At 40.9% G+C, this 26,259-nt stretch overlaps 2 long non-coding RNA genes across 4 annotated transcripts in view; one reads left to right on the top strand and one right to left on the bottom strand.

The window, feature by feature from the left end:
- LINC02824 (long intergenic non-protein coding RNA 2824) overlaps positions 1–3,071 on the bottom strand; it is a 29,915-nt gene extending 26,844 nt beyond the window's left edge. The window contains exons 1-2 of the long non-coding RNA NR_183614.1: positions 2,899–3,071; positions 1,572–1,687 (exon numbers count right to left, since the gene is read on the bottom strand). This is a non-coding gene — a long non-coding RNA (long intergenic non-protein coding RNA 2824). The remainder of the gene's footprint in view (positions 1–1,571; positions 1,688–2,898) is intronic.
- A 97-nt stretch (positions 3,072–3,168) lies between these two features.
- The window catches only part of LOC100996671 (uncharacterized), a 37,373-nt gene continuing 14,282 nt past the window's right edge, over positions 3,169–26,259 (top strand). For all 3 annotated transcript variants that reach the window (NR_110035.2, NR_110034.2, NR_110036.2), the window contains exon 1: positions 3,169–3,452. This is a non-coding gene — a long non-coding RNA (uncharacterized LOC100996671). The remainder of the gene's footprint in view (positions 3,453–26,259) is intronic.

Here is a 26,259-nt window from a genome sequence, read left to right as displayed (position 1 = left end):
TTTTGGTGTTGTAGACATGAAGTCCTTGCCCATGCCTATGTCCTGAATGGTATTGCCTAGGTTTTCTTCTAGGGTTTTTATGGTTTTAGGTCTAACATTTAAGTCTTTAATCCACCTTGAATTAATTTTTGTATAAGGTATAAGGAAGGGATCCAGTTTCAGCTTTCTACATATGGCTAGCCAGTTTTCCCAGCACCATTTATTAAATAGGGAATCCTTTCCCCATTTCTTGTTTTTGTCAGGTTTGTCAAAGATCAGATAGTTGTAGATATGTGGCATTATTTCTGAGGGCTCTGTTCTGTTCCATTGGTCTATATCTCTGTTTTGCTATAAAAAAATGATGAGATCATGTCCTTTGTAGGGACATGGATGAAGCTGGAAACCACCATTCTCAGCAAACTATCGCAAGAACAAAAAACCAAACACCGCATGTTCTCACTTATAGGTGGGAATTGAACAATGAGAATACATGGACACAGGAAGGGGAACATCACACACCGGGGCCTGTTGTGGGGTTGGGGGAGGGGGGAGGGATAGCATTAGGGGATATACCTAATGTAAATGACGAGTTAATGGGTGCAGTACACCAACATGGCACATGTATACATATGTAACAAGCCTGCACGTTGTGCACATGTACCCTAAAACTTGTATAATTTTTTAAAAAAAGATTTATAATTGCTGTTTGTGGTTGACTGTTATATCCCACAGTATTTTTTTTTTCCCGTATTGGGTACGTTCTTTGAAAAATAAAATCATGAGTTGGACAAGAAATATCAGTACAGGAGACAAACTGTGTAAGGAAATTACCTGCTGTCTTCAAGGACACAATTGTCCCTTCTGACTCAAAAACCTGAAAACTTTCCTCAGGTGAAAAGGGTTGATTAGAGTGTGATAGTTAATGTATATGCCAATTCGACTGGGCCCTGAGGTGCTCATATCGAACATCATTTCTGAGTGTATCTTTCAGGATATTTGCTGATGAGATTAGCATTTGAATTGGTGGACTCAATGAAGTGTAATATTTCCCCTTCCCCAAAGCGTGTGGGCACCAACCAATCCATTGAGGGCCCAAATAGAACAAAAGGCAGAGAAATGAGAATTCTCCCCCTTGTTTATTTTTTTCTGCCTCATTGCTTGACCTCAGACTTCTCATCTTATCCTGCCATGAGATTGGGATTTGTATTATCAGCCCCCACTGGTTCTCAGGCCTTTGAGCTCAGACTGAATTACACCACTGGCGTTCCTGGGTCTTCAGATGGTGGGGGGCACATCGTGGGAAGTCTCATCTCCATAACCGTGTGAGCCAGGTCCTCGTCGCCACAGCAGAAAACCCAAAACCTTCCGTCTCCCTGTGCATCTGTCAGAGGACGCCTGATATGACTAATAAAAGGAAGAGACTGGCCACTCAATGCCAGAAGATGAGAAGAGACAATGGGAAATTCTACCTGACACTCGTCAATGGCAAACCGTCCAGGCCTCACTGGTGAAATATGGGCATTGTCAGTGGATAGGACACAGGGAGTCATGCCCACTTCAGGAAGGCTATGAGCGGCTTCTGTGCTACTGACCTTTCTGGGGGAAACAGCCATCACTGCAGGCCAAGATGCACTTCGCTAGACTTGACTGGGGCTGCTAGCTCCTCTCTTCTCCTCAGGCTCCTGCAGGCTACAGGCCATTTCCACACCTGCAAAGAGGTGTCATCATCAGTCAGGAGAGGAGGTGGTCAGACAGCAGTGGGACCACAGGGGAACACAGAGCTGTCAGCCCAGGGACAAGGGATTGACCGATGGGCCAGGCCTCTGCAGTGACAAATGTCACAGCTGGGCTGTTTCTTTCTGAATTAAGGTGCCCCCATTTGTCTGACTGATTCACCAGGGGAAAATACAATAGACAAGTTCTCAGGGCTCAATCTACTTGAAGAAGCCTGAACTATACCATTGAGAACAGAATTTATAGCCACAACAGGGGCTTTCTTTATCCAAACTTTAGTTCTGGTTTTCCTTTTGTTGATGAGTTAATTTACGTTCAAATTTAGAAAATGAAATGTGTTTTAAAACTCCAAGTGCAGCTCATATAGGAATTTTCAAGCCCTGTAACCTATCAGAATAACAAATGTGAAAGCCCACAGTGGTTAGGCAGGCAGCGTGGAAGTGTGTCTTGGCCTGTTGGCACTGGAACAAAGTTACCAGCCAAAACTCTGCTTCTTGGGGACACTCAGCCTCAGCCACCTGCTGCCCGTGGCAGCCAGAGCCGCCTGTCCCAAAGGTCACTGCCCCTAGGTGCTGACAGGAAGGGCTTCAGAGCCACACTGCAGCTACTAATCCCAGCGGGGCCACCAACTAGCTGTGGGACCTTGGCCCAGTCAGCTAACTTATCAGGGTCTGTTTTCTGATTAGTAAAACAGGAAAACTAACAGTGTCAGCCTCATGGTGAGTGTTGAGTCCAGGATTAAATACATAAATGCAGAGAAATCATTTAAAACAGGGGTAGCACACTGGAAATGCTACATAGATGTTACCTACTTCTATGGTACATTGATTTTCGTTTTAAAAGATACCTTAAAACATGAATTCTTACGTGAAGTCTCTTTAGATATGGACAACTAATTGAAATATATTGAATTCATATATTCATATTTATGTAGTATACATTAATATATAATAAATTCATATATACAATAGAGCTTGAAATACATATATATAATATAAACATACATGAAAATATATTCAATACTTTTAAGTATAGTATATGAATATAAATGCAGTATTTATGTCAATACACTCACATATTTGCATATATTTATTTGAACTTAATATGCCCTGTATTTGCTATGGGCTGTGGGACATCTGTGAATAATCTCTGAAGGAAAACGCTCTTCTGTAACATGTGCTGAACCTGTGAATGGGAGAGAACTAGCATCCACATTGTCCATAGTAGAAAATGATGGTCTTCTTTGGAGATGATCTCCGTTTCCAGAAGGAGAAGCCGTGGCTTGCCCATCCTCTTCAACTCCTTCAGCACTGATTGTTCCAACCGTGATAGCCTGCTCCAAAGTTTGCCCCACCATTGGCTGGCCAGTGGCCAATCAGATACTCTCAATGCCGTGATCCGAGATTGGGCTTTGGGCCCTGAACTGTGATGTCACAGAACCTGGGACCTGCACCCATGCTGGGCTAAGACAAGGGGCAGAGGCAGAGAGAGAGAGAGGAGCCACCCTGAGAAGGAAGAGACCAGGTGGGCTCTGAGACAGGGAGACCCTTTCTACGTCGGTGCCTTGACATGTGACTTTTTTGTCACTTCGTGCTCCAGGATCACACCTGGATGAACTATCACTTTCAAATGACCTTGTCTTTTCTCGGGCCTTCTGAACTGATCATCTCTTCCTTCTGATACAAGAGGATCTTCCCTGGAAGACCACTGCACACCTTCTAGTAACACTGCGACCCTGGGTGAGTCACTTAACTTTTCTGGGCCTCAGTTTCGTCATCTGTAAAATGTCCAGAACACCTCCCCAATTCGACAGAGCTGTTCTCAGGATCAAAAGAGCAAACTCAGTTCATCCGTGAGACACTTGCCTTTTGCGTGGCCCTCAGTAGAAATCATATATCTTCTTAACAGCCACTTGATTTTTCCGAACCTTTGCCAAGTAAAAGTCTGTGTCAGAGCTCACAGACTCCACACTTGTGTCCCATCAGAGTCTCTGACCAGGGACAGTAACCTTCAAAGTGCAAACAGGAAATTAGCCTCCAGCCACTGCTGTTCCTCCAAGTGCCACGTGGCACTCAGGCTCAGGTAGGCAGTGGGGCTACAGATTCTTGTTTTTACACTTGACTCAGTTTCCTTATCTGTAAGTGGGGATAACAATAGTAACCATGTGAGAGAGATACATATGATATATACCTCTCCCTATATTTGCTATGGGCTGTGGGACACCTGTGAGTATATATATATTATACTCACAGTATAATATATATATATATATAATCATGTGAGATATTTATCTATCTATCTTCTATCTATCTATATACACATACTACAAGATGAATATGAGATATGGAGATGAGACATCCCCAATGTGCCCCCCACCATATATACTTGTAAATATACAACAAGCATAATCATGTGAGAGATATATACTATGTAACAATAGTAATAGTTAACATATATGATTGCTAACAATAGTTATGTGAGAGATGTATATAATATATATCATATATATCTCTCCTGTAATTACTAAAAATATATATGGTCTATCTCTCTCACATAATTACTATTGTTAGTAATCATATATATTAACTACTACTATTGTTAATATATATATTAGCAAAACATATGGATTAAGTAATCTAATGTTCTAATGCCTATAAAGTGCCTAGAGTCTGTCACATAGTGTTGTATAAATATTAGCTATTACTATTCTCTTATTGTATCCAGCCAGCAATTCAACAGTACTCACTGTGATTATTCTAAATTACACATCTAATTTTCTGTTAAAAATTCTTCCATGGCTCTCCATTGCTCTTGGTTGGGCTGACCCCTGCCCACCTCTCCATCCTCATCTTATGTTAGATGCTCCTTCCCCGGCAGCCACACTGGCATGTTCTGTCTCTCTTTCAACCCTGGACAGGTGGTCTGAGGCCCCTACCTCCTACCTGATGGAGATGACTCTTGCTTATCCTATGTTTCACAGCTCAGGGCTTACCTCCTCTGGGAAGGCTTCCTTGACCCCCCAAGTTTGAATTAGATGTCCCCCATCATCTTAGACTTACTGCCGTCAGAGCACTTTCTGCCTGTGCAGTAATAATTAGTTTGCCCGCTGCCTCCTCACTAATCAGTGAGTCCACCTGCTTGTGTGCTTTGCCCGAGTGGATGCAGCCTAATCACCAGGAAACTTCTCACCCAACAAGCAACAGGTGTTTCTAGGATTGGTTCATTGACTCGAGTCAGAGCTCTGGAAAAGCCTCTGCAATTCTTTTGGTCTTTCCTCATTGGCACAAGGTGGCTGCCAAGGCTCCAAATATTTGGTCCTCACAAAATCACCTGAAAGTGGAGCAAAGGGAGGGGCTTTCTTCACACTTCTCCAGCTTAAAAGAGCTGGAGGGAGAGGAAGGGGAGCAGGGTGTGGAAACTCTGGAGACTGCTCAGTTCTCAAGAGTCTAGAACTTCCTGAAAAACAATGCTGTAAGTACTCTCCAAAACCTCTTCCAGGATTCAGTGGCTTTACCCCCAGTGAAAGTCATATGCTTCTAAATCTATGAATGCTTTACTATTTTATATAAAGTTAGTGGGGAAGGCAGATATCTATATACTGAAGATAAAAGTACCAGGCATAGTTATCAAAAACCTTTGTTGTGTAATACATAAATAAGGGGAACCAAGAGATTGTGCAGTTCTTTTTGGCTCTGGATCCCCCCTGAGCTTTCTCCAGCACTGGGAGTGTCTCTTCTGGATTTTTAGCTATCATAGGTGTCACTGGCCTAGCTCCTATCATTGCCAGGTAGGGCTGGGGCTGAGATTTCTGCCTGTAGTGCTTTCTGGACACCTTCTTGCTTCCTGAAGGGACCAGAGGGTTCAGTCATGGCAGAGGCACTTTCTGGCCTGACAGATCAGGGTGAGGACTAAAACTGCAGAAAAGAACAAAGCCACCCTATTGCCTCCTGCTACTCAAAATCTTATATTTTTTTTAAAAAGAAATATTTCCATAGTTTTTTTTGGGAACAGGTGTTATTTGGTACATGAGTAAGCTCTTTAGTGGTGATTTGTGAGATTTTGGTGCACCCATCTCCCGAGCACTATACACTGAACCCAATTTGTCATCTTTTATCCCTCACCCCCTTCCCACCCTTTCCCTCTGAGTCCCCAGAGTCCATCATGTCATTCTTATGCTTTTGCATACTCCTAGCTTAGCTACCAATTATAAGTGAGAACAAATGATGTTTGGTTTTACATTTTTGAGTTACTTCACTTAGAATGATAGTCTCCAATCTCATCCAGGTTGCTGCAAATGCCATTAATTCATTCTTTTTTTGTGGCTGAGTAGTATTCCATCATATATCTGTATATATGTATATGTGTGTGTATATATATATATATATATATATATATATTCATATAACAGTTTCTTTATTCACTTGTTGACTGATGGGCATTTGGGTTGGTTTCAATTTTTGCAATTGTGAATTGTACTGCTATAAACATTCATGAGCAAGTATCTTTTTCATAGGATAACTTCTGAACAGCAAGTCTTCTAATTTTGGATTAATAGGTTTCAGTTTCTCACAGAAAGAGGATGCATCCTGCTTTGCTTGTGAGAATGGGGAGATAGATAACAAAGCTTAGTTTCTGTTCCACCAAATTCTACCCCTTTTCCTAAATGACGAGGAGAGTGAAGCAAATGACCTGCTAATAACCTCCACTTTGGTGGAAAAAAAAATTATGTGGCTGAAGACTAATAATGATAGTAAATTAATAATTGAATAAAATGTCACATGTGCTCTATGAGAAAAAATATCTGTAGTCACATGTTGAACTAATTTTATGCATGGCTGCTCACCCTATATAATTGTATCTATTTATTATGAAAAATTTCAAATATGCAGAAAAATAGAAGTTTTTAGTGAAGAACCATATACCTACCAGCGCCTAAATTCTACTGTTAACATTTTATTCTTCTTGCTTTATTCTATATCTTTTCATTTCTGTCAAAGGATGATGACTCGATACCTGAGATTATGTGGTCAATCCTATCGATCTTTTCTCCTTTACGGTTTGAGACTTTTGTGTCTTTTTTTTTTTTTTTTTTTTTCGGAGTCTCTCTTTGTCACCTGGCTGGAGTGCAATTGTGTGATCTTGGCTCACTGCAACTTCCGCCTCCTGGGTTCAAGCGATTCTCCTGCCTCAGCCTCCCGAGTTGCTGAGACTACAGGAGCCTGCCACCACGCCCAGCTAATTTTTGTATTTTTAGTAGGGACAGCATTTCACCATATTGGCCAAGATTGTCTCGATCTCTTGACCTTGTGATCTGCCCACCTCAGCCTCCCAAAGTGCTGGGATCACAGGTGTGAGCCATCACGCACGGCCTTTGTGTGATTTTTACAATGACCTTTGGCTAAATCTGTCCCTATTCTCCTCTTGTACTTTTATCATTTTGCATCTTACATTTAATTTTTAATCCAGTGGAAATTATATTTATATAAGGAATGAGAAAAATCTCCAATTTGTATTTGTTTTTCTTCCCAAATTGCTAACTAGTCATTCTGCTTCCAGTTCCAATTTAGGGCTTTGGAGTTGCCCTAGAATTTCTTTATGTCCATTCCTTCTTGGCCCGTCTCCTCCATGTGTCTCCATAGATGGATGCCCTAGGTCCATGTGCTCAAATGAAAGACACATCACAGCTCTGCAAAAGGCACTGGAGGGGACCAGATGCAAAACTACAGAACTAATGCTGGAGGCAGGAGCATCTGCTGAGAAAATTAAATCTCTCTTTTGGGATGCAGAAGGGAGAGGGAGAGGCCCAGGATGGGAGAACAATAAAAGCTGTTCACGCAGCTCAGGGGCTTCTCAGATCCCACCCCACCTGTGGTGCTTAGCTTGTATTCAGCTTCAGCCCTGGCCATGCTCCAGGGCTCCTGGGCAGCCACATCCCTGGTACTATTCCAGGCCTCACTGGGCTGAGTTGCCTGCTTCCTTCTCATCTGTTAAAACCACAGGCTTGGAATTTAGGATAGCACTGGGGGAGGGGAACTAACCTCTCTTAGGAGAAAAAAATAGGGTCCAGAACACAGTTTTTCAGGGAGAGAACCTGGCCATAATGAACAAGGAAGAAAGAGAGGAAGGGAGGGGGAGAGAATACAGTGGTGTCCATGAGAATCTGGGTTTTGAACCATGACAATGTTCATAAGTATTATAGGATCTAGGGTGTGATAACTTCTCTGAATTTTGGGTCCCCACCTATAAATGATCACATAATTGTTCTTACTGCTAAGGGTTTTGAAGGATTGAAACAATCTATGCAAACTGCTTCACTCAATAGCTAGCAATAGTAGTCACTAAAAAATTAATATTTACACACACACATACACATGTACACACAGGCACATGTACAAGGAAAACATAAGGAACTTCTGGCTACTGCAGGACCCTGACAGGGATCCTTCATTCTCCTCATAGACAGATTCAAACTTGAACATGCCAAAATACTGAGCCCCATCACATGACTTTCCCAGGCACTGACTTGAGCTGTCAGGGTATTTTGTGGTTCAGAAACTAAAGGAACACAGTGGGGAAGGCAGAGGAACATGGCTGAGTGAGTCTGACACTTTTGTCCCTCCACCCTGGGAGTCTAAAAAAATCAAGGCCTCTTTGGTCTTTGTATCACAAGATATCAACAATGAAGATGACAGGCCTGGTGACAGTAAGGAGAAAATGGGTGAGCAGAGCCCCCGGGTCAGAAAGACCTTGGAGGGCAGTCTCTCTAATGAGGACTGATATGGTTTTGCTCTGTCTCTTCAACCAAATCTCATCTCAAATTGTAATCTCTATGTGTCAAGAGAGGAACCTGGTGGGAGGTGATTAGATCATGGGGGTGGTTTCCCCATGTGGTTCTCATGATAGTGAGTGAATTCTCACAAATCTGATGGTTTTGTAAGTGTTTGGTAATTCCTCCTTTGCTCTCTGTCTCTCTCCTGCCACCTTGTGAAGAAGGTAATTGCTTCCACTTTGCCTTCTGCCATGATTGTAACTTTCCTGAGGCCTTCCCAGCAATGCAGAATTGTGAGTCAGTTAAACCTCTTTCCTTTATAAATTACCCAGTTTCGGGTGTTTCTTTATAGCAGTGTGAAAACGAACTAATATAATGGGTATCAAGAGTGTGGTACTGCTATAAAGATAATCTGAAAATGTGAAGGCCACTTTGGAATGAGCAGATGTTGGAACAGTTTGGAGGGCTCAGAAAAAGACAGGAGGATGTGGGAAAGTTTGGAACTTCTTGACTTGTTAAATGGTTTTGACCAAAATGCTGTTAGTGATATGAACAATGAAGTCCAGGCTGAGGTGGTATCAGATGGAGATGAGGAACTTATGTTTAAAAGGGAAGCAGAGCATAAAAGTTTGGAAAATTTGCAGCCTGATGATGCAGTAGAAAAGAAAACCCCATTTTCTGGGGAGAAATTGAAGCCAGCTGCAAAAATTTGCATAAGTAACAAGGAGCTGAATGTTAATCACCAAGACATGGAGGAAAATGTCTCCAAGGCATGTCAGAGATCTTCAAGGCAACCCCTCCCATCATAGGCCTGGAGGCCTAGGAGGGAAAAATGCTTTCATGGGCCAGCCTCAGGGCCCTGCTTCTCTGTGCAGCCTTGGGACATGGTTGCTCCCCAGTCACGCCAGTGCAAGCAGTGACTAAAAAGGGCCAAGGTACAGCTTGGGCCATTGCTTCAGAGGATGCAAGCCCCAAGCCTTGGCAGCTTCCACCTGGTGTTGGGCCTGTGGGTGCACAGAAGACAAGGGGTGCGCTTTAGAAACCTTTGCCTAGATTTCAGAGGATGTATGGAAATGCCTGGATGTCCAGGCAGAAGTCTGCTTCAGAGGTGGAGTACTCATGGAGAACCTCTGCTAAGGCAGTACAAAAGGGAAATGTGGGGTTGGAGCCCCAACACAGAATCCTCACTGGGGCACTGCCTAATGGAGCTGTGAGAAGACAGCCACTGTCCTCCAGACCCCAGAATGGTAGATGCACTGACAGATTGCACTGTGCACCTGGAAAAGTCATTCAATACCAGCCTGTGAAGGAGCTGCCCAAAGCTATGGGAGCCACCCCTTGCGTCAGTGTGCTCCGGGTGTGAGACATGGAGTCAAAGGATATCATTTTGGAGCTTTAAGATTGAATGACTGCCCTGCTGGGTTTCTGACTTTCATGGGGCCTGTAGCCCTTTTGTTTTGGCCAATTTCTCCCATTTGGAATGGGAGCATTTATCCAATGCCTGTACCCCCATTGTATCTTGGAAGTAACTAACTCGGTTTTGATTTTACAGGCATATAGGCAGAAGGGTCATGCCTTGTCTCAGATGAGACTTTGGACTTTGACTTTTGATTTAATGCTGAAATGAATTAAGACTTTCAGGGACTGTTGGGAAGGCATGATTGGTTTTGAAATGTAAAAAGGACAGGAGATTTGGGAGGGGCCAGGGGCAGAATGATATGGTTTGGCTCTGTGTCCCTACCCAAGTCTCATCTCAAATTGTAATCCCCATGTGTCAAAGGAGGGACCTGATGGGAGGTAATTGGATCATGGGGGTGGTTTCCCCCATGCAGTTCTCATGATAGTGAGTGAGTTCTCACGAGACCTGATGGTTCTATAAGTGTTTGGAAGTTCCTCCTTCACCCTCTCTCTTTCCTGCTGCCTTGTGAAGAAGGTGCCTGCTTCCCCTTTGCCTTCTGCCATGATTGCAAGTTTCCTGAGGCATCCTCAGCAACGTGGAACTGTGAGTCAATTAAACCTCTTTCCTTTATAAATTATGAAGTTGGGATATTCCTTTATAGCAGTGTGAAAATGGACTAATACAAGCCTCCCACCCAGCCCCACTCAGATCCACTGTATTTTCAAAGAGCAGGGGACACTGGGGCCAATCCTTCTTATCCCACAACTTTAGAAATGTTTAATTGGTAGGACCCAGAGCTGAGCACTAATAATGAGAATCTGGTAAGATTATTCTTCTTAACAAGCAGAGCTGCATTTCTGGTGTAGCTTCTGCCTGATACAGATTGGGGAAGTTCATTTGTGAAGTTCTTTCATAAGTGGATAGCAACACACCCACATTTCTTTTGGTACCAATTAAATAACTTCATTCAAACAGCAAACATGGTAATAGAAATGAATTCAATGATTCTTTGACTTACAAGAAAGATAAATTTAAAAGGAACAAAACAAAACAAGAACTCAACATTGAACAAATGCCATAATTTAAATTTTTTTTATGTTATCAAGGACAGTATGGCCATAGAAATGTAAAGAGTCATTGGAAAGGAAAAAATTAAAATATCTCTGCTACAGAATGACTCCAAATTACTGCAACAATACTGCTGGAAATTTGAAAATTAAGTGGGAAGGCTTGTATTTCAGTCTCCCTTTCAGCAGAGGACCATCAGTTCTTTCCCGTTTGCATGCTTGTATTGAAGAAAATTTTCCCCAAAAGTTCCAGTGCCACTGCTTTAGCCCTGATAGAATAGCCACCTCAGGAGACAGAGCTGGTACATCCAAAGGTTAGGAGACAGAAAGAGTTTAGGGTGGTGGATGAGAGTCTGGGGATTAAGCCAGAGAACCTGTGTCAAGTCCAGGACCTGCCTCTTAATAGCTGTGTGAGAATGCAATTGGCTGATACTTATATAGAGCTTATTGCTCAAAAGGTACTCGTACATTCTGTCCTCACTGCAGTCCTAGAGAGGTCAGGACCCCTGCCTGTCCTCTTGTAGTTCCCTGTGCATTTTATCTATGGTGCATGTTTCAGTGTGTAATTTAATAGGTTTGTGCTTGTTTGGTTAACGTGTTTCTTCTCTGGTAGGATGTAACCACCATGACTGGATGGTCTAGGTTTGGTATAGTTCTCCACTGGATATTCAGCACCTAGGACAGTGCCTAACATATCATCAGGGGTTCAGCTATTTAGTAAAGGGAGGCTCAGGGCTTTACATTGGAGAGATTGCTGAGCTGCAAAAGGTAGGAACTCAATGAATGTTTGACTCTTAAATTCACAAATGAAGAGGGGGGTCTGGCTCAATGAAAATTTAAAATCCAAATGTCCTGTACTGTGTTTGGTGCTTAATATGCAGCAGCTATAATAGAGTGCATAACCAAAGACAGAATGTTCATAAGCCTAGACTGAAATAATGCTGGTGGGAAGAGGGCATTTAAACATTCCTGAGCAGGTTGAGAATAATCGACTCAGAGTGGTTGAGTGAACTCAAGATGACGCGCTTTTGTTCTCAGGAGAATCCCCAAATGGGGTCTGAAACCTGGGCAGAGTTGTGTGGTATTTCCTCTTTCCTCTAAGAAAAAATTGTTCAGAAGAAAGAAATTCCAAAGATTCTTCCACCTTTAATGAGAAATAATTGAGAAAGTGGGAACTGTGTCCTACTTTATATTCCAAATAAAGACAAGCACTTGTGATATGATTAACTGCAGGCAGAGGCTGAACTAGATTTCACTAGGCATGGAGGGTAATTGAATTTCACTTTGTGCTCACTATTTTTCCTTGGATAAATAATAAGAATATATCCTCCAATATTTCTTGGCTATTGGCTCCTATGAAAATTTTTCTATCACCTGATCCCAAATGCTGAATGAGAAACACCAGCTCTTGAACTCAAACCACTCAGATCAGGAAAGAATCACCCTCAGTCTTCAGGAAGAAGGGGAAGAATTGTAGAAAATAGCTCAGCAATTTCTGGGCTTTATATTTGAGAAAGCAAAAATAATTGTGGCCTGTGGACCAATTTGCAGTTACTTCCTCAGTCCCTAGGTGTCTAATTTGGATGGACATGTTCCACAGTTAGAATTACCTGCACATGGGATATTTGTCCTGTGAGGTCAGAACTGTCATAGTGGGAAAGGCTAAATACAAGTCACTTTAACTACCCCCACCCAGTCAAAGTTGTAAAACCAAAACAATATTACATCCTGAGGAGAGGGCTAGCAGAGATTCACTCCACAATTAAAGATCAGTCAGTGCGGGGATCATGGCCACAATCATATTTTTGTTTATTTCACCAGTTTAGCCCCTCCAAAAAGCAGATGAAGCTTGGCCTGTGACTTTACACTATCTCAACTTCCGTCAAGCAGTAGCCCTGTTCACAGTCGCTATCTCAGATGGGCTATTGTTATTAGAACAAATTATTAAAGCCTCAGGTCCATAGTATGTGTCTACTTATTTGGCCAACAATTTATATTTTAATCCCAGGAGAGTCAGACACAATTCATATACAAATGGCATGCATTTCTTTACATCTTTGCTCCAGTATTATGCTAATGTTCCCATCCTTACTCATGATGTATTCTAAAGATATATGGACCACCTAGACATCCTGAAAAATAGCATGTTGTTTCATTATGCTGATGACATCATGCTTATTGGTCAGGGCAAGCAACAGGTGATTAGTTTGCAGAAGTCTTTAATAAGACACATACGTGAAAAAAATAAGAAATTCTGGGACTTGCCATTTCAGTATGTTTTCAGGTGTCCAGTATTCAGGGTATACAGGAACTCCACATTAAAAGACAAATTGCTGCACCTTGCATCCCCTGCAACAATGAAGTAAACATAATATCTGGTGGGACGCTCCAGGTTCTGGAGGCAGCACATTCCACACACAAAAATACTGCTGAGAACCATATATTTTAAGACACAGAAGCTGACTTGCTTTGGTCAGGAAAAAGCTCTGCAGCAGATGCAAGCTCTATTGTAGACAGCCTTGCCACTTGGGCCATATGATCTATCAGTCACTACAGTCATTACGATGTTAGAGATGTCAGGGGTGTATACACACACACACACACACACACACACACACACACATATGCATTGTGGAGTTTATGGCAAATCACAATGGGAGTTTTAAAGCAAAGCCATGAAGTTCTACAGCCAGGCCATATCATCTGTAGCAGAAATGTATGTGCTTTTCTTGTGTGAGTCCAATCCTGGCATATTACTCTGCTCCAGTAGAGATGAAACAGAGATGGACCAAGAGGGCACCAAAAGACCATGCATCTGGAACTGTTAGTTATGAGCTATGTTTTATTAGACCCTCTTTTCCTGGGTCAGGCAGGACCACAGAATCCATTATAAAATGGAAATGCCATATATGAGATTACGCCAGAACAACACCAGAGGGACTGAGTACACTGTATGATCAAGTAACCTAGCCATGCATGTCACCTGCCATGGTTACACAAGAATCATTCCATCAGCTCACTCCCAGATCTTGGTTTTCAGCTAGGTATGTGGGTACAACTAAAAAATGGATGGGGGCTGCATTACACATATACTCAGTGGTGGGGCTGAAAGGCAGTGGTGAGGGGAAATCTTCATTGTTAGAACTGGAATAAGTGTACCTGGCCATCCTCTTTGTATGAAAGTAGAATCCTGAGATGAGAATAGTTGTGGATTCCTGAGCAGTGGTCAAAGACCTAGGTGGCTGGTCAGAATCCTGTAAGGAAAAGACTGGAAAGTCTGAGACAAAAACATCTGGGAAAGAGGCACATGGATGGGCATAACGGAGTTGGCATAAACCATGAAGCTGTTTCATACATTTATGTCACTATAAGTAATCTATGATTGAAGAAGAAATCAACAATCCAGGAGACAAAATGATCCTGCCAGTTCACATGAGCCAACCTTTGTCATTATCTACTCCAGAACTAGCATGGTGGACACACTGATGTAGCCTTCATGGTGGCAAAGGTGGAATGTATAGATGGGCCCAATAACATGGACTTTAACTCATAAAGTTCATTCTCATTGCATCTCGAAATACCCAATCTGCTTGCAAGAGAGATCAAAATTGAGTTTCAATTATGACACTAGTCCCAAGGAGAACAGCCACTTTTTTCTAAGCCGATTAAATTGGATCCCTTCCATCCTGGAAAACCCAGTGATTAATCACAGCCTTAGATATATATTTCATAGACAGATTTGCTTTCCTGCTGGGGGAGCCTCAGCCAGTACCATTATCTGTGTGCTTATAGGTGGCTTGATCCACAAGCATGAAATTTCATACAGCATAGCATCCAACAGGAACCCACTTCATAACAAGGAGGTTCATGAAAGGGCCCATAAACGTAAGATCTATCAGCAATACAACACATTGCATTGCCTGGAAGGAGCCAGCTTGAGAGAATTGGAATTACTTACTAATGGCGTGGTTGAAATACCAGGTTGGGGTAATACTCTGTGAGGATAGATTACCATTTTTTAGAATGTAGTATACGCATTAAATCAGAGACCTCTATATGGTGTTGTGTAGCTAAGGGAAGACTAAATTGATCCATAAAATCAGAGTAATAAAACAATGGCTCTATTTACCATCTTCCCAATGGGCCATTGGGAGAATGTTTGTCTCTCATTCCTGCCATTCTGAGTTCTGCACGGCTAGGGGTCCTGTCCCCGAACGTGGGGTCCTGTCCCTGAATGTATGCACTCTGTCCATGGGAAAAGCAAGGTTCCCCTTGAGCTACAGGTTATGGCAGGCACCTGGGCACTTTGGATCCCTTGTGAAGATGTCAACAGATAAGGGGTCACCATGATGGCAGGCATAACTGACCCTGATTGAAAGGAGCTGAAAATGCTCTTACACAATGGGGGCAAGAGAAGAATGAGAAGAATATGCATGGACCTCAAGTGATCCACTTTGGTACCTTCTTATATTCCTTTGTCTAATTATAACTGTGAGTGAACATGTATAGCAACTCCTGACTGAGAAGAGTATGATTACCAGCAGGTCAGACCCATCAGGGATGAAGGTTAGGCCGCAGTATCAAGTCCGCCAGCAAGATCTTCACGGAAAATCCATGAGAGTGGAAGAATTTGTCATTTATACTGGAGGAGAGAGATGGTAGGAACCTCACGTGGTGCTAAGATCAACTGCAGCAACCAAGTCTGTAGTGTGTTCCATATACTCGCTCTTCTAATCTTCCCTTCAGTGAATAAGGCCCATGGGGCACATTGAGTAACTGCTTCCTGATCACATGTAGAAGACCTGTGCAGCCGAAGGGGTGGATGCTGGCAGCCTTAGATTCCAGTGCTCACATCTCCCTTCACAAAAATCTGCTTCAAATACCATAGATCTCCATCTTCCCACACAAGGTATTTCCAAACACTAACCAAAAGTTGCAGTGGGGTAGTAGAGCCAGGACATTTCTGCCCAACGTGCACCTCCCACTGGGCATTTTTGCCTGTGGACTCCTTATGTGCCTCGCTGGATTTCTTAGAGATCTGCAACAGTGTGAGTGTGAGTCTTTCTTCCCTCTCTCCACTTGCTGGCATCCAACCTGCCTCATGGTCTAAAGGCTCTCCTTGCATGTCCCTGTCTACTCTTCTCTTCATCCTTCACAAGCATTTCTCCTAATAGACCTTTCATGTGTATAATGTCATCTTGGCATCTGCTTCTCAGTGGACATGAATTGGCAGAAATATTTATCAAATGGAGAATACATAAATAAATAAATGAACAGACCAGTGTTTAAATCCTTATTTTGCAACATTATCACATATTTGTACAGTATATTTTGTCTCTTGTATTTTTGTTCTCCTCCTCTTTCTCCACTTGCTCCCCTTTTTTTAAAATAAAGTCCCTGTTTGAGGATTTCCTATTTTCCACTAAATTTATGGGCTTTGAGAGTGGCCCAACCCTCAAGTCTCTCAACCCTATCCCCAAACCTAGGTGAACACATGTCTCACAGTCCAGGACTCAAAACTACACTCTTGTCCTGACCCCTCAACCACATAGAGTAGCTACCTTGGGTACCCCTTCCCTCTCTATTGCTGCTTTCTCCTTTGGCCCCTCACCCTCTGAAACTAAGGGAAAAAAAAGAAAATTAGGATAAATAAAGGTAAAAAGGGGAGACTAGGAAATTTTGCTTAGTATTGAGCTAGTTTGCAGGGCTCTTCTTGTCTTTACAGGAAAGATAGCTTCTAAAACTCCTTCATGTTGTTTATAAGGTCCCTGCCTCTTCTAAATACAGTAGCAGCAGCAGACCCAGTATGGGTAACAAGTAGGGCTCAGTGTGTCATTTGCTATTTTTGCACCATGACAAGCCTGAACAGCTGTTCAGTGTGAAGAGCATCTCCACCAAACAAGGAGGTTTTCCAAAGGACAAAGGGAATTGTTCTGGCCTTGTGACTCATAGAGAGTAAATAGAGAGTAAGTGTCCAATTATGGCCAATTCAATATTACATTCTGGGACACTTTGTTATGCTTGAGTGTGTCCCTCTTTCTCAGAGAAAACAAGGGATGCACAGAGAAATTGCAGCCTAAATGGGAAGGTACTTAGGAAGGAAAGAGGAAGAAACCTCTTTTGCTCTTTGAGAAGGACATAAAATAAGTGAACCAGTGGTGCTTTTTTTCTGTTGTTTTATCTCAGGTCTGCCTTTGAGCTGCACTCATTCCTGTTTAGCTTTTATTGTCAAGAACATAGAATTAAATTAGGAAGAACACCTTTTCTTGAGCTCGAGATTTCCTGAAGGAGGATCTGCATTTCACATGGATGGTCAGGATACTAGTCTCTGAGCCTCTCAGTTCCTTCATCTGTATGATGGGTAATGGTAGCACCAACCTCACAGGGTGCTCATGGGGATCACCTAAAAAGCTGGTTAGGAAACTAACTGGCATAGGTAAGTAATCAAAAGATGAAAGGCAGTGAGACATGGTGGAGAGAGTGGGAACTAGAGGATGGTGGTCTGGTCCAAATGACAAAGGTCTGTTGACAAAGGTCTGTTGACAAAGTTCTAATGACAAAGGTCCAAATGACAAAGGTCAACTGTCATTAACCACTTGCGTGACACTGGCCTGCCTCTCTTGCTTTCGTTGCTTTATCAGAAAAATGGGATGTGTGCATATATATATATATATATATATATATATATATATATATATATTTGTTGAACATATATGTGTGATATGCATATACACACATATACAGACATATATTTACAAGCCTATATATATGCATGTGTGTGTATGTGTGTGTGTGTGTGTGTAGAGAGAGAGGGAGAGACAGAGACAGGGAAAGAGGGTTGCTGTATTATATAATTTAACTCATGCAAAGCACTTAGGAGAGTGCCTACATGTTGCTGCTGCTGAACACAATGTAGATCTTCTGGTCATTATAATTATGTAAGCACATAATCTAGACTTGAAGTTGGATACCCAGGGAAGTCTCAGCTGACAGCAAGATTGGCCCCCAGATTTTCCTCAGGCAAAAGGAAAAGAATGAAAGACAATAAGTGCCTTCCTCAAAAAAGTAGAAAAACTTCAAATAAACAACAGAATGATGCATCTCAAAGAATTAGAAAAACAAGGGCAAACCAAACCCAAAATTAGTTGGAGAAACAAAAAATAAAGATCAGGGATGAGACAAATGGATTTGAGACTAAAAAAATACAAAAGATCAATGAAACAAAAAGTCGGCTTTTTGAAAAGATAAACAAAATTGACAAACCTTCAGCCAGACTAAGGAAAAAGGAGAGAATACCCAAATAAATAAAATTAGGATGAAAAAGAGAACATTATAACTAACACCACATAAATCCAAAGGTTCATTAGAACCTATTATTAGCAACTATACACCAACAAACTGGAAAATATAGAAGAAATGGATAAAGTCCTAGACACATACAACCTACCAAGACAGAACCATGAAGAAATCTAAAACCTGAATAGACCAATAACAAGATAGAAGCAGTAGTAAAAAGTCTCCCATCAAACAGCACCTGCTGAATTCTACCAAACATTTAAAGAGGAATGGATGTCAATCCTACTTAAATTATTCCAAAAAAAAATCAAAGAGTAGTGAATACTTTCAAACAAATTCTATGAGGCCAGTATTACCCTGATACCAAAACCATACAAAGACACCAAAAGAAAATTACAGGCCAAAATCCGTAATGAACACAGATGCAAAAATCCTCAAAGAAATACTAACAAACTTAATTTAATAACATATTAAAGAGGTCATTCATCATGATTAAATGGGATTCATGCAAGAATGTTTTAACATATGAAAATCAATAAATGTGATACATCATAACAGTAACAGACAAAAAACACAAGTTCATTTCAATAAATGCAGAAAAAGCATTTGATAAAATATACCATCTCTTCATGATAAAAACTCTCACAACACTGGGAATAAAGGGAACATACCTCAATATTATAAAAGTCGTATACAACAAAACCACTGCTAGTATCATAATAAACAGGGAAAAACTGACAGCTCTTTCACTAAGATATGGAACATGACAAGGATGCCCACTTTCACCACTTGTTTTCAACATAGTCCTAGGAGTCTTAACCAGAGCAACTAAACAAGAGAAAGAAATAAAGGGCATCCAATTTGGGAAGGAAGAAGTCAAACTGTCTATGTTTGCAGATGATACAATCTTATATTTTAAAAAATCTAAAGACTCCACCAAAAAAACTGTTAGTACTGATAAACCAACTCAGTAAAGAATTAGAATATAAAATCAACATACAACAAATCAGTAGCATTTCTATATGCCCACAGTGAACAATCTGAAAAAGAAATCAAGAAAGGAATCCCATTTACAATAGTTACAAATATAAAAAATATTTAGCAATAAATGTGACTGGAGAACTAAACAATCTCTACAATGAAAACTATACAACATTGATGAAAGTAATTGAAGAAGACATAAAAAAACAAAAAATATTTCATGTTCATGGATTGAAAAAAGTAATATTGTTAAAATATCTATACTACCCAAAACAATCTACAGATTCAATGCAATCTCTATCAAAATACCAAAATTTTAAAGAAATTTTTTATTTAAAATCTTAAAATTTTAATGGATCTACAAAATACCCAGAATAACCAAAGCACACATGAGCAAAAAGAATAAAGGAGAAGGCATCACATTTCTTCACTTCAAATTATACCACAAAGCTGGCCAGGTACGGTGTCTTGTGCCTGTAATCCCAGCACTTTGGGAGGCCAAGGTGGGTGGGATAGCTTGAGCCCAGCAGTTCAATACCAGCGTGGGCAACATGGCAAAACCCCATCTCTATAAAAAACACAAAAATTAGCCAGGTGTAGTGGAGCATGCCTGTAATCCCAGCTACTGGGGAGGCTGAAGCACAAGAATCACTGTAATCCAGGAGGCGGATGTTGCAGTGAGTTGAGATCATGCCACTGCACTCCAGTCTAGGTGACAGAGACAAACTCTGTCTCAAAAAAATAAAAAAATAAAAAATAAATTATGTATCTATCTATCTATACTATAAAGCTATAGTAACTAAAACAGCATGGTACTTCCATAAAAACAGATACATAGACTAATAGAACAGAATAATAGAGATCCCAGAAATAAATACACACATTTACAGTGAACTTATTTTTGACAAAGGTGCTAAGAACATACTTTGGGAAAAGGACAGTCTCTTTGATAAATAGTGCTGGGAAAACTGGACATCCATATGCAGAAGAATGAAACTAGACCCCTATCTCTGCCCATATACAAAAATAAATTTAAAATGGAGTAAAAGAATTAAATCTAAGACCTGGATCTATGAAACTACTACAAGAAAATATTGGGAAACTCTCTAGGACATTGGTCTTGGCAAGGATTTCTTGAATAATAGCCCCCACACACAGGCAACTAAAGCAAAAATGAACAAATGGAATTAAATTAAGCTAAAAACCTTCTGCACAGCAAAACAAACAAACAAAACAAAACAAAACAAAAAAAGACAATAACAAAGTGAAGAGACAACCCACAGAATAAGAGAAAAATATTTGTGACCCACTCATCTGACAAGATATTAATAAACAGATTATAGAAAGTGCTCAAACAACTCTATAGGAAAAACTCTAATAATCCAACTAAAAATGGGCAAAAGATCTGAAGAGACTTCTCCAAGAAGACATACAAATGGCCAACAGGTGTATAAAAAAATCCTCATCACTTATGATCGAGAAATGCAAATCACCGCTGTAGTGAGATATCATCTCACTCCAGTTGAAATGGCTTTTATCCAAAAGGTAATAAGTTCTGGTGAGGATATACAGTGTTGTTGAGAATGGAAATTAATACAACCACTATGGAGAAGAGTATGAAGGTTCCTCAAAAAACTAATAATAGAACTACTACATGATCCAGGAATCCCACTCCTGGGTATATCTATAAAAGAGAGGAAATTCATATATTCCAGAGATAGCTGCACTTCCATGTTTATTTTAGCACTATTCACAGTATTTACACTATTCTAAGATTTGGAATCAACCTAAGTGTCTATCAGTGGATGAATAAATAAAGAAAATGTGGTACATTACACAATGGAGTATTATTCAACCTCTGAAAAGGATGAAATCCTGCTATTTGCAACAACATGGATGGAACTAGAGGAAATTAAGTAAAATAAGTTGGGGACAGAAAGACAAATATTGCATGTTCTCACTCATACGTTGGAGCAAAGAAAAGTTGATTTTATGGAGGTGGAGAGTAGAATGCTGGTAGCCAGAGGCTGGGAAGGGTTTTTGGGGGGACATAAACATGCAGTTAGAAGGAATAAGTTCTAATGTTTGATAGCAGAATAAGGTGACAATATTTAACAACACTATATTGCATATTTTAAAATAGCTAGAAAAGAAAACTTGAAATGTTCCCAACACATAGAAACAATACATATTTGAAATGATGGAGACCCCAGATATCCTGACTTGATCATTACATTTAACAAAATATCACATGTACCCCATAAATATGAACACATATTATGTCTATAAAACACTAAAAAATAATTTCCCAGTAAACTAATATCAAGCAGAGCCACTCTGTGATTCCGATAGACTAAGATGATAACTAGACCACTTTAAAATCATGTCTGAATTCTCAAAAATATAAGGATAGTAAAGAACCTACAAAAACAACCAAACATCCCTTTATTTTCCTGAATGATATGAGTGAATACAGTTTTTTCTTAATTATAGGCTTACCTTTGATCTGGCATTTCTGCCTTTTAGATAGACATATGAACATGTCCAGTTGTAGAATTAACCTTGCTTTCAGAAAGCATTTTATTCAAAGCCTCACTTCACGGAACCTACCCAAAAATCATCTGAAAGAAGAAAGCCCAAATCCTAGAATGACCTGTTTCTAATACAGTCTTCTTGAGTCACCTAATGGTTCCCATGGTGCTCACCCTGTCTTGTTGCCACAAGGCAATTAACCCAACTTTGCTAAGCTACAAGTTTGTCCCTGCATGTCTTTCATTGAAGGGTATTGGTGCCATTCTCACTAGAGTGGGCCCTGCTCTGTGCTGACCCTCTCCTCAGTGTGAGACCCTGCACCCCTTTAGCATCAGCTACTGACTCCCACTGGATGGGAAGCTCCACATGAGCAGGGCTGTTAGCATCTGAATTTGATAGAAGAGAAAACTAGACCCAGAGAGGTAAAGTAACTGCCCACACCCATGCAGCTGTAGGTGGCTGGGAGTCCAACCCAGCCTCCTGCCTTCCCAGCTCCAGGACCTGAATTCTTTCATTGCATTCTTTTTAACCAGAAAGTTTGCCTTTTTTTTTTTTCCCCAGGGTCTTCTCCATCACCCAGGCTAAATAGAGCACAGTGGTACAATTAAGGGTCACTGCACCCTGACCTCCCAGGGTTCATGCCTACCTCCCACTTCAGCCTTCCGCCTAGCTAGGACCACAGGAATGCACCATCACACCCGGCTAATTTTTGTATTTTTTATAGAGACAGAGTCTCCCCGTGTTGTCCAGGATGGTCTCCAACTCCTGGGCTCAAGCGTTCCTCCCAAAGTGCTGGGATTGCAGGCATGAGCCATCATGCCTAGCCAAAAATTTGCTTTTACCCAAATTGCTCAAACCTACCTGGTTTTCTGAGTCACATTGGGCACTTATTAAAAGTACTTATTCCTGGGTACCACCCTGGACTTATATGACTCTCCCAGTGAGAAGCCTGGCATCTTTACATTTACCAACATCATCAGGTCATTATTTTTTACCAGTCAGGTTTAGAAAGCTTTATTTGGATAACACAACATGTGTAGAGGTAAGACACCTGCCAAATTAAGTTCACCAGGCTTTATTGAAGATAAAATCTAATCAGCCATCTCCTCAGTGAGAAGTAAACTTTTATTGAAAGATACTTTCTTGTTTTTTCTGCTTCTCACTAATTCTTCCATAAAAATTATAAGGAAATAAGAATAAAAAGCTGAGAGGCAGAAGTATTTACCACTTACCATTCATTCAGGGCAATAGGCACTTTCAAAGAGGACAGGAAAGAAGAAAACAAAATTCTGTCCAACATAAAGCTTTCCCTGCTGTGAAAGGCAGCACAGTGGCAAATCTGATTGGTTTGGATCTGGTCACATTTCAAGGGCTGCATTCATAAAATACTACATTGACAAACATAATGAACTTTAATGGTGTCTCCCTTCACTAAAGGAAATCAAGGACATGCAGAGAAAAATCAGGAAACTTCCCTGCAATGAATGATTGGGTTCTAGGTGGAGATAAAGTGGACTTGGTTATATGTTCAAGAATATTGAAGATTTCTCCATCTTTCCACTCTCTGGACTGAGGGCAGGCTGAAACATTATAAAATAGGTTATTTTGGCTGTGTGCAGTGGTTTATGCCTATAATCCAAGCACCACGCGAAGCTGAGGCAGGTGGATAACTTGAGGCTTGGAGTGACAAGCCTGGCCAACATGTCAAAACCCCATCTCTACTAAAAATACAAAAATTAGCCAGGCATAGTGGCATGTGCCTGTAATCCCAGCTACTCAGGAGGCAGAGACAGGAGAATTGCTTGAACTCAGGAGGCAGAGGTTGCAGTGAGCCAAGATCATGTCACTGCACTCCAGCCTAGGAGACCGAGTGGAAGTCTGTATCAAAAAAAAAAAAAAAATTACTACTAATAAAAAAAAAGGTAACCCAGCTACCTATATGTTAAAGAAACCTGATGAGGGCTGCTTAGCAGATACTCTGACTTTACACAAAAGTGGTTAGGCGATGTCAAACCACTTTGCTTTCAGAAAGTATTTTATTCAAAGCCTCACTTCACGGAACCTACCCAAAAATCATCTGAAAGAAGGAGGCCCAAATCCTAGAACAACTTGTTTCTAATACACCCTTCTTGAGACACGTAATGGTTCCCATGGTGCTCATCCTCTCTTGTTGCCACAAGGCAATTAACCCAACTTTGCTAAGCTACAAGTGTGTCCTGGCATGTCTTTGATTGAAGGGCATTGGGGCCATTCTCACCGGAGTGGATTCAGGGAACCAAAGACCTGGATTTCCTCTCCTCTCATTCTCTGATTTCTTGCAATTAACTCTCACTTTCCAATCTAACCGGATGTTGGAGGGCAAAGAATCTAATTAATGGTGCCAAACCATATTGTTAGCCCTCAAGGGTACAGAGTGGGAGGGAAAATGGTGAAGAGTATTGAAGTGTTGCCAGTGGAGAATATCTGGCACACAACTCGAGGGTCACTGTCTTTGTTTTAGAAAAAGTACTGTGAGCTGTAAAACATTTTCAGTTTTTCCATGACCCCATGACCGGCAACAGAAGGTATCTGGAATAAGAGTGATTCATACTCTAAAGAATACAATAATAAAAATTCCTATAGACCAGCATAGCACCAAACAAACTCTTGTAGCCTTGGGAGGTACTAAGATGAAGAAGGATAATTTCTGGGCATGAGGAGCCTCTCAGAAGGGAACAAGAGTTGATACAGCAGCAACCTGTGTGACCCAGTTACCTAGTACAAGATAGGATAAAGGATGTCTCTGCAGAGGGCTGCATAGTCCAAAGATACCATGTAGGCCATGATACTGTCTAAGTCATTTGAACAGAGATACAACTTTGGAGAGACGCAGTGGCAACCCTAAATCATTATGACAATGGCAATCACAAGTACTAGGCACTCTTGCAAATGCTTTGTATTGACTCATTCACCCATTGCATCAACTCTAGGGTGTGCATTACTGTAACCCCCACCACAGGGAAGTTAATCTTGCTCAAGCCCTCATAAATTGAGTAAGGTCAACATTCCTGAGAGATGAGAGGAGGTTAAAAATAGAGCTTAAGTAGAATTGCAGAATAAAGCAAGATAAAATTATATGTCTTGATTATCTGAATTTGTGGATGGAGTTGTGTGCCTTCCACATACAGATGGTTTTTCCTAGTCTTGATTGCTGCTGGAAGAGATTTCAGGAGGCATCCTAGGCACAATGATGGTTGAGTTTTTGTTTCTGGGTAGCCACCAGTCTGCCTGATCATATAAATACAACATCCTCATGGCAGGTGAGCAGCCTGAGGTCTGAAGGAAAGTAAACTCAGTCCCAATAGATAGGAAATGCTAAGAAGGGCCTAGAATTCAGACACAGAGCTCCTGTGGGGTAGTTCCTGCGTGGTAGATACAGGAAACGACAACCTCTGAGAGTCTTCAACTTCAGCTAAGATCCAACCTTGTGCCTTTTAAGGAGAAGCACCTTAAAGCAGAGATTCCAAAACCTTGCTTTGAAACATTTCAAGGTGTCTCTCATTAAAGGAATGCAATACATATGTAAGTGCTTAATAATTTAAATATATATATTAAATATATATTAAGTATACATGTATATTTAAATATATACTTTAATATACAAATACATATTTTAATGTATATTAATATATATATTTGAATTCGTATTAAGTACTTTTTGAATCACTTTAAATGTCACGAATGAGTGGACAGGATGTCACAAAATTGTCACAGATTGTAGTCAATTCAAATGCTTAGGAATCATGTGTTGCATGACCAAATTTCCTATGACACCAGCATTTTTTCTATAGTAAGAGAGCCTCAATATAGCACATTCGACGTGTTTCTTGTGCACAGACATGGGCTGATTCTTTATTAGCTACACAGGTCAGTGACAGGACCAAGCAACATCAAATCTGTTGACAAACTGAGTGATAAAACAATCATGTCTACTCCTGTTTATTGTATTCTTTAGACATTTAGTAGGTCTGTGGTGGGGATCAATGCTGTGTTTTTCCCCCAACCTCAGAGGTGGCATTGAAGCTCCTGGTCCTTAAAAAGCACTCTGAGCATCGTGGTTCCAGAAGATCCCCTTAGGCCTCATAAGCCAGTATTGCATCACTGTTCACCTTTGGTTCTAAGGGAGGCAGGAAAAGCATTTGGCAAAGAGGAATGGGAAGTCAGGGCTGCAGCAGACCAACCATGACTCAGTCTCTGGGGCTGGGCAAATTACTGTCTGGACAAAAGCAATTTAGCCATAAAGAAAAAACAATGACTATCGGGAAGAAAATTGTTGCTGCCAAGGCAAATGTTCCAGAGAAGCTCGTGTAGGAAAGAAAATGGACTTTCCGAGCATGTTTCATCTCTTAGGAGAGCTCCCTTTGTCTGTCTACTCCCAGTATCCAATATATGAGTTGCAGTTGCCCTTTTATTAACTTCTCTGATTTTTAAAAAACACTTTCAAACATACAGAGAAATTTAAA

Source organism: Homo sapiens, chromosome 12, assembly GCF_000001405.40.
Source record: "Homo sapiens chromosome 12, GRCh38.p14 Primary Assembly".
NCBI classification, from domain to species: domain Eukaryota; kingdom Metazoa; phylum Chordata; class Mammalia; order Primates; family Hominidae; genus Homo; species Homo sapiens.
The sequence above is the reverse complement of the archived record's forward strand: the minus strand, read 5'-3'. Positions and strand labels throughout refer to the sequence as shown.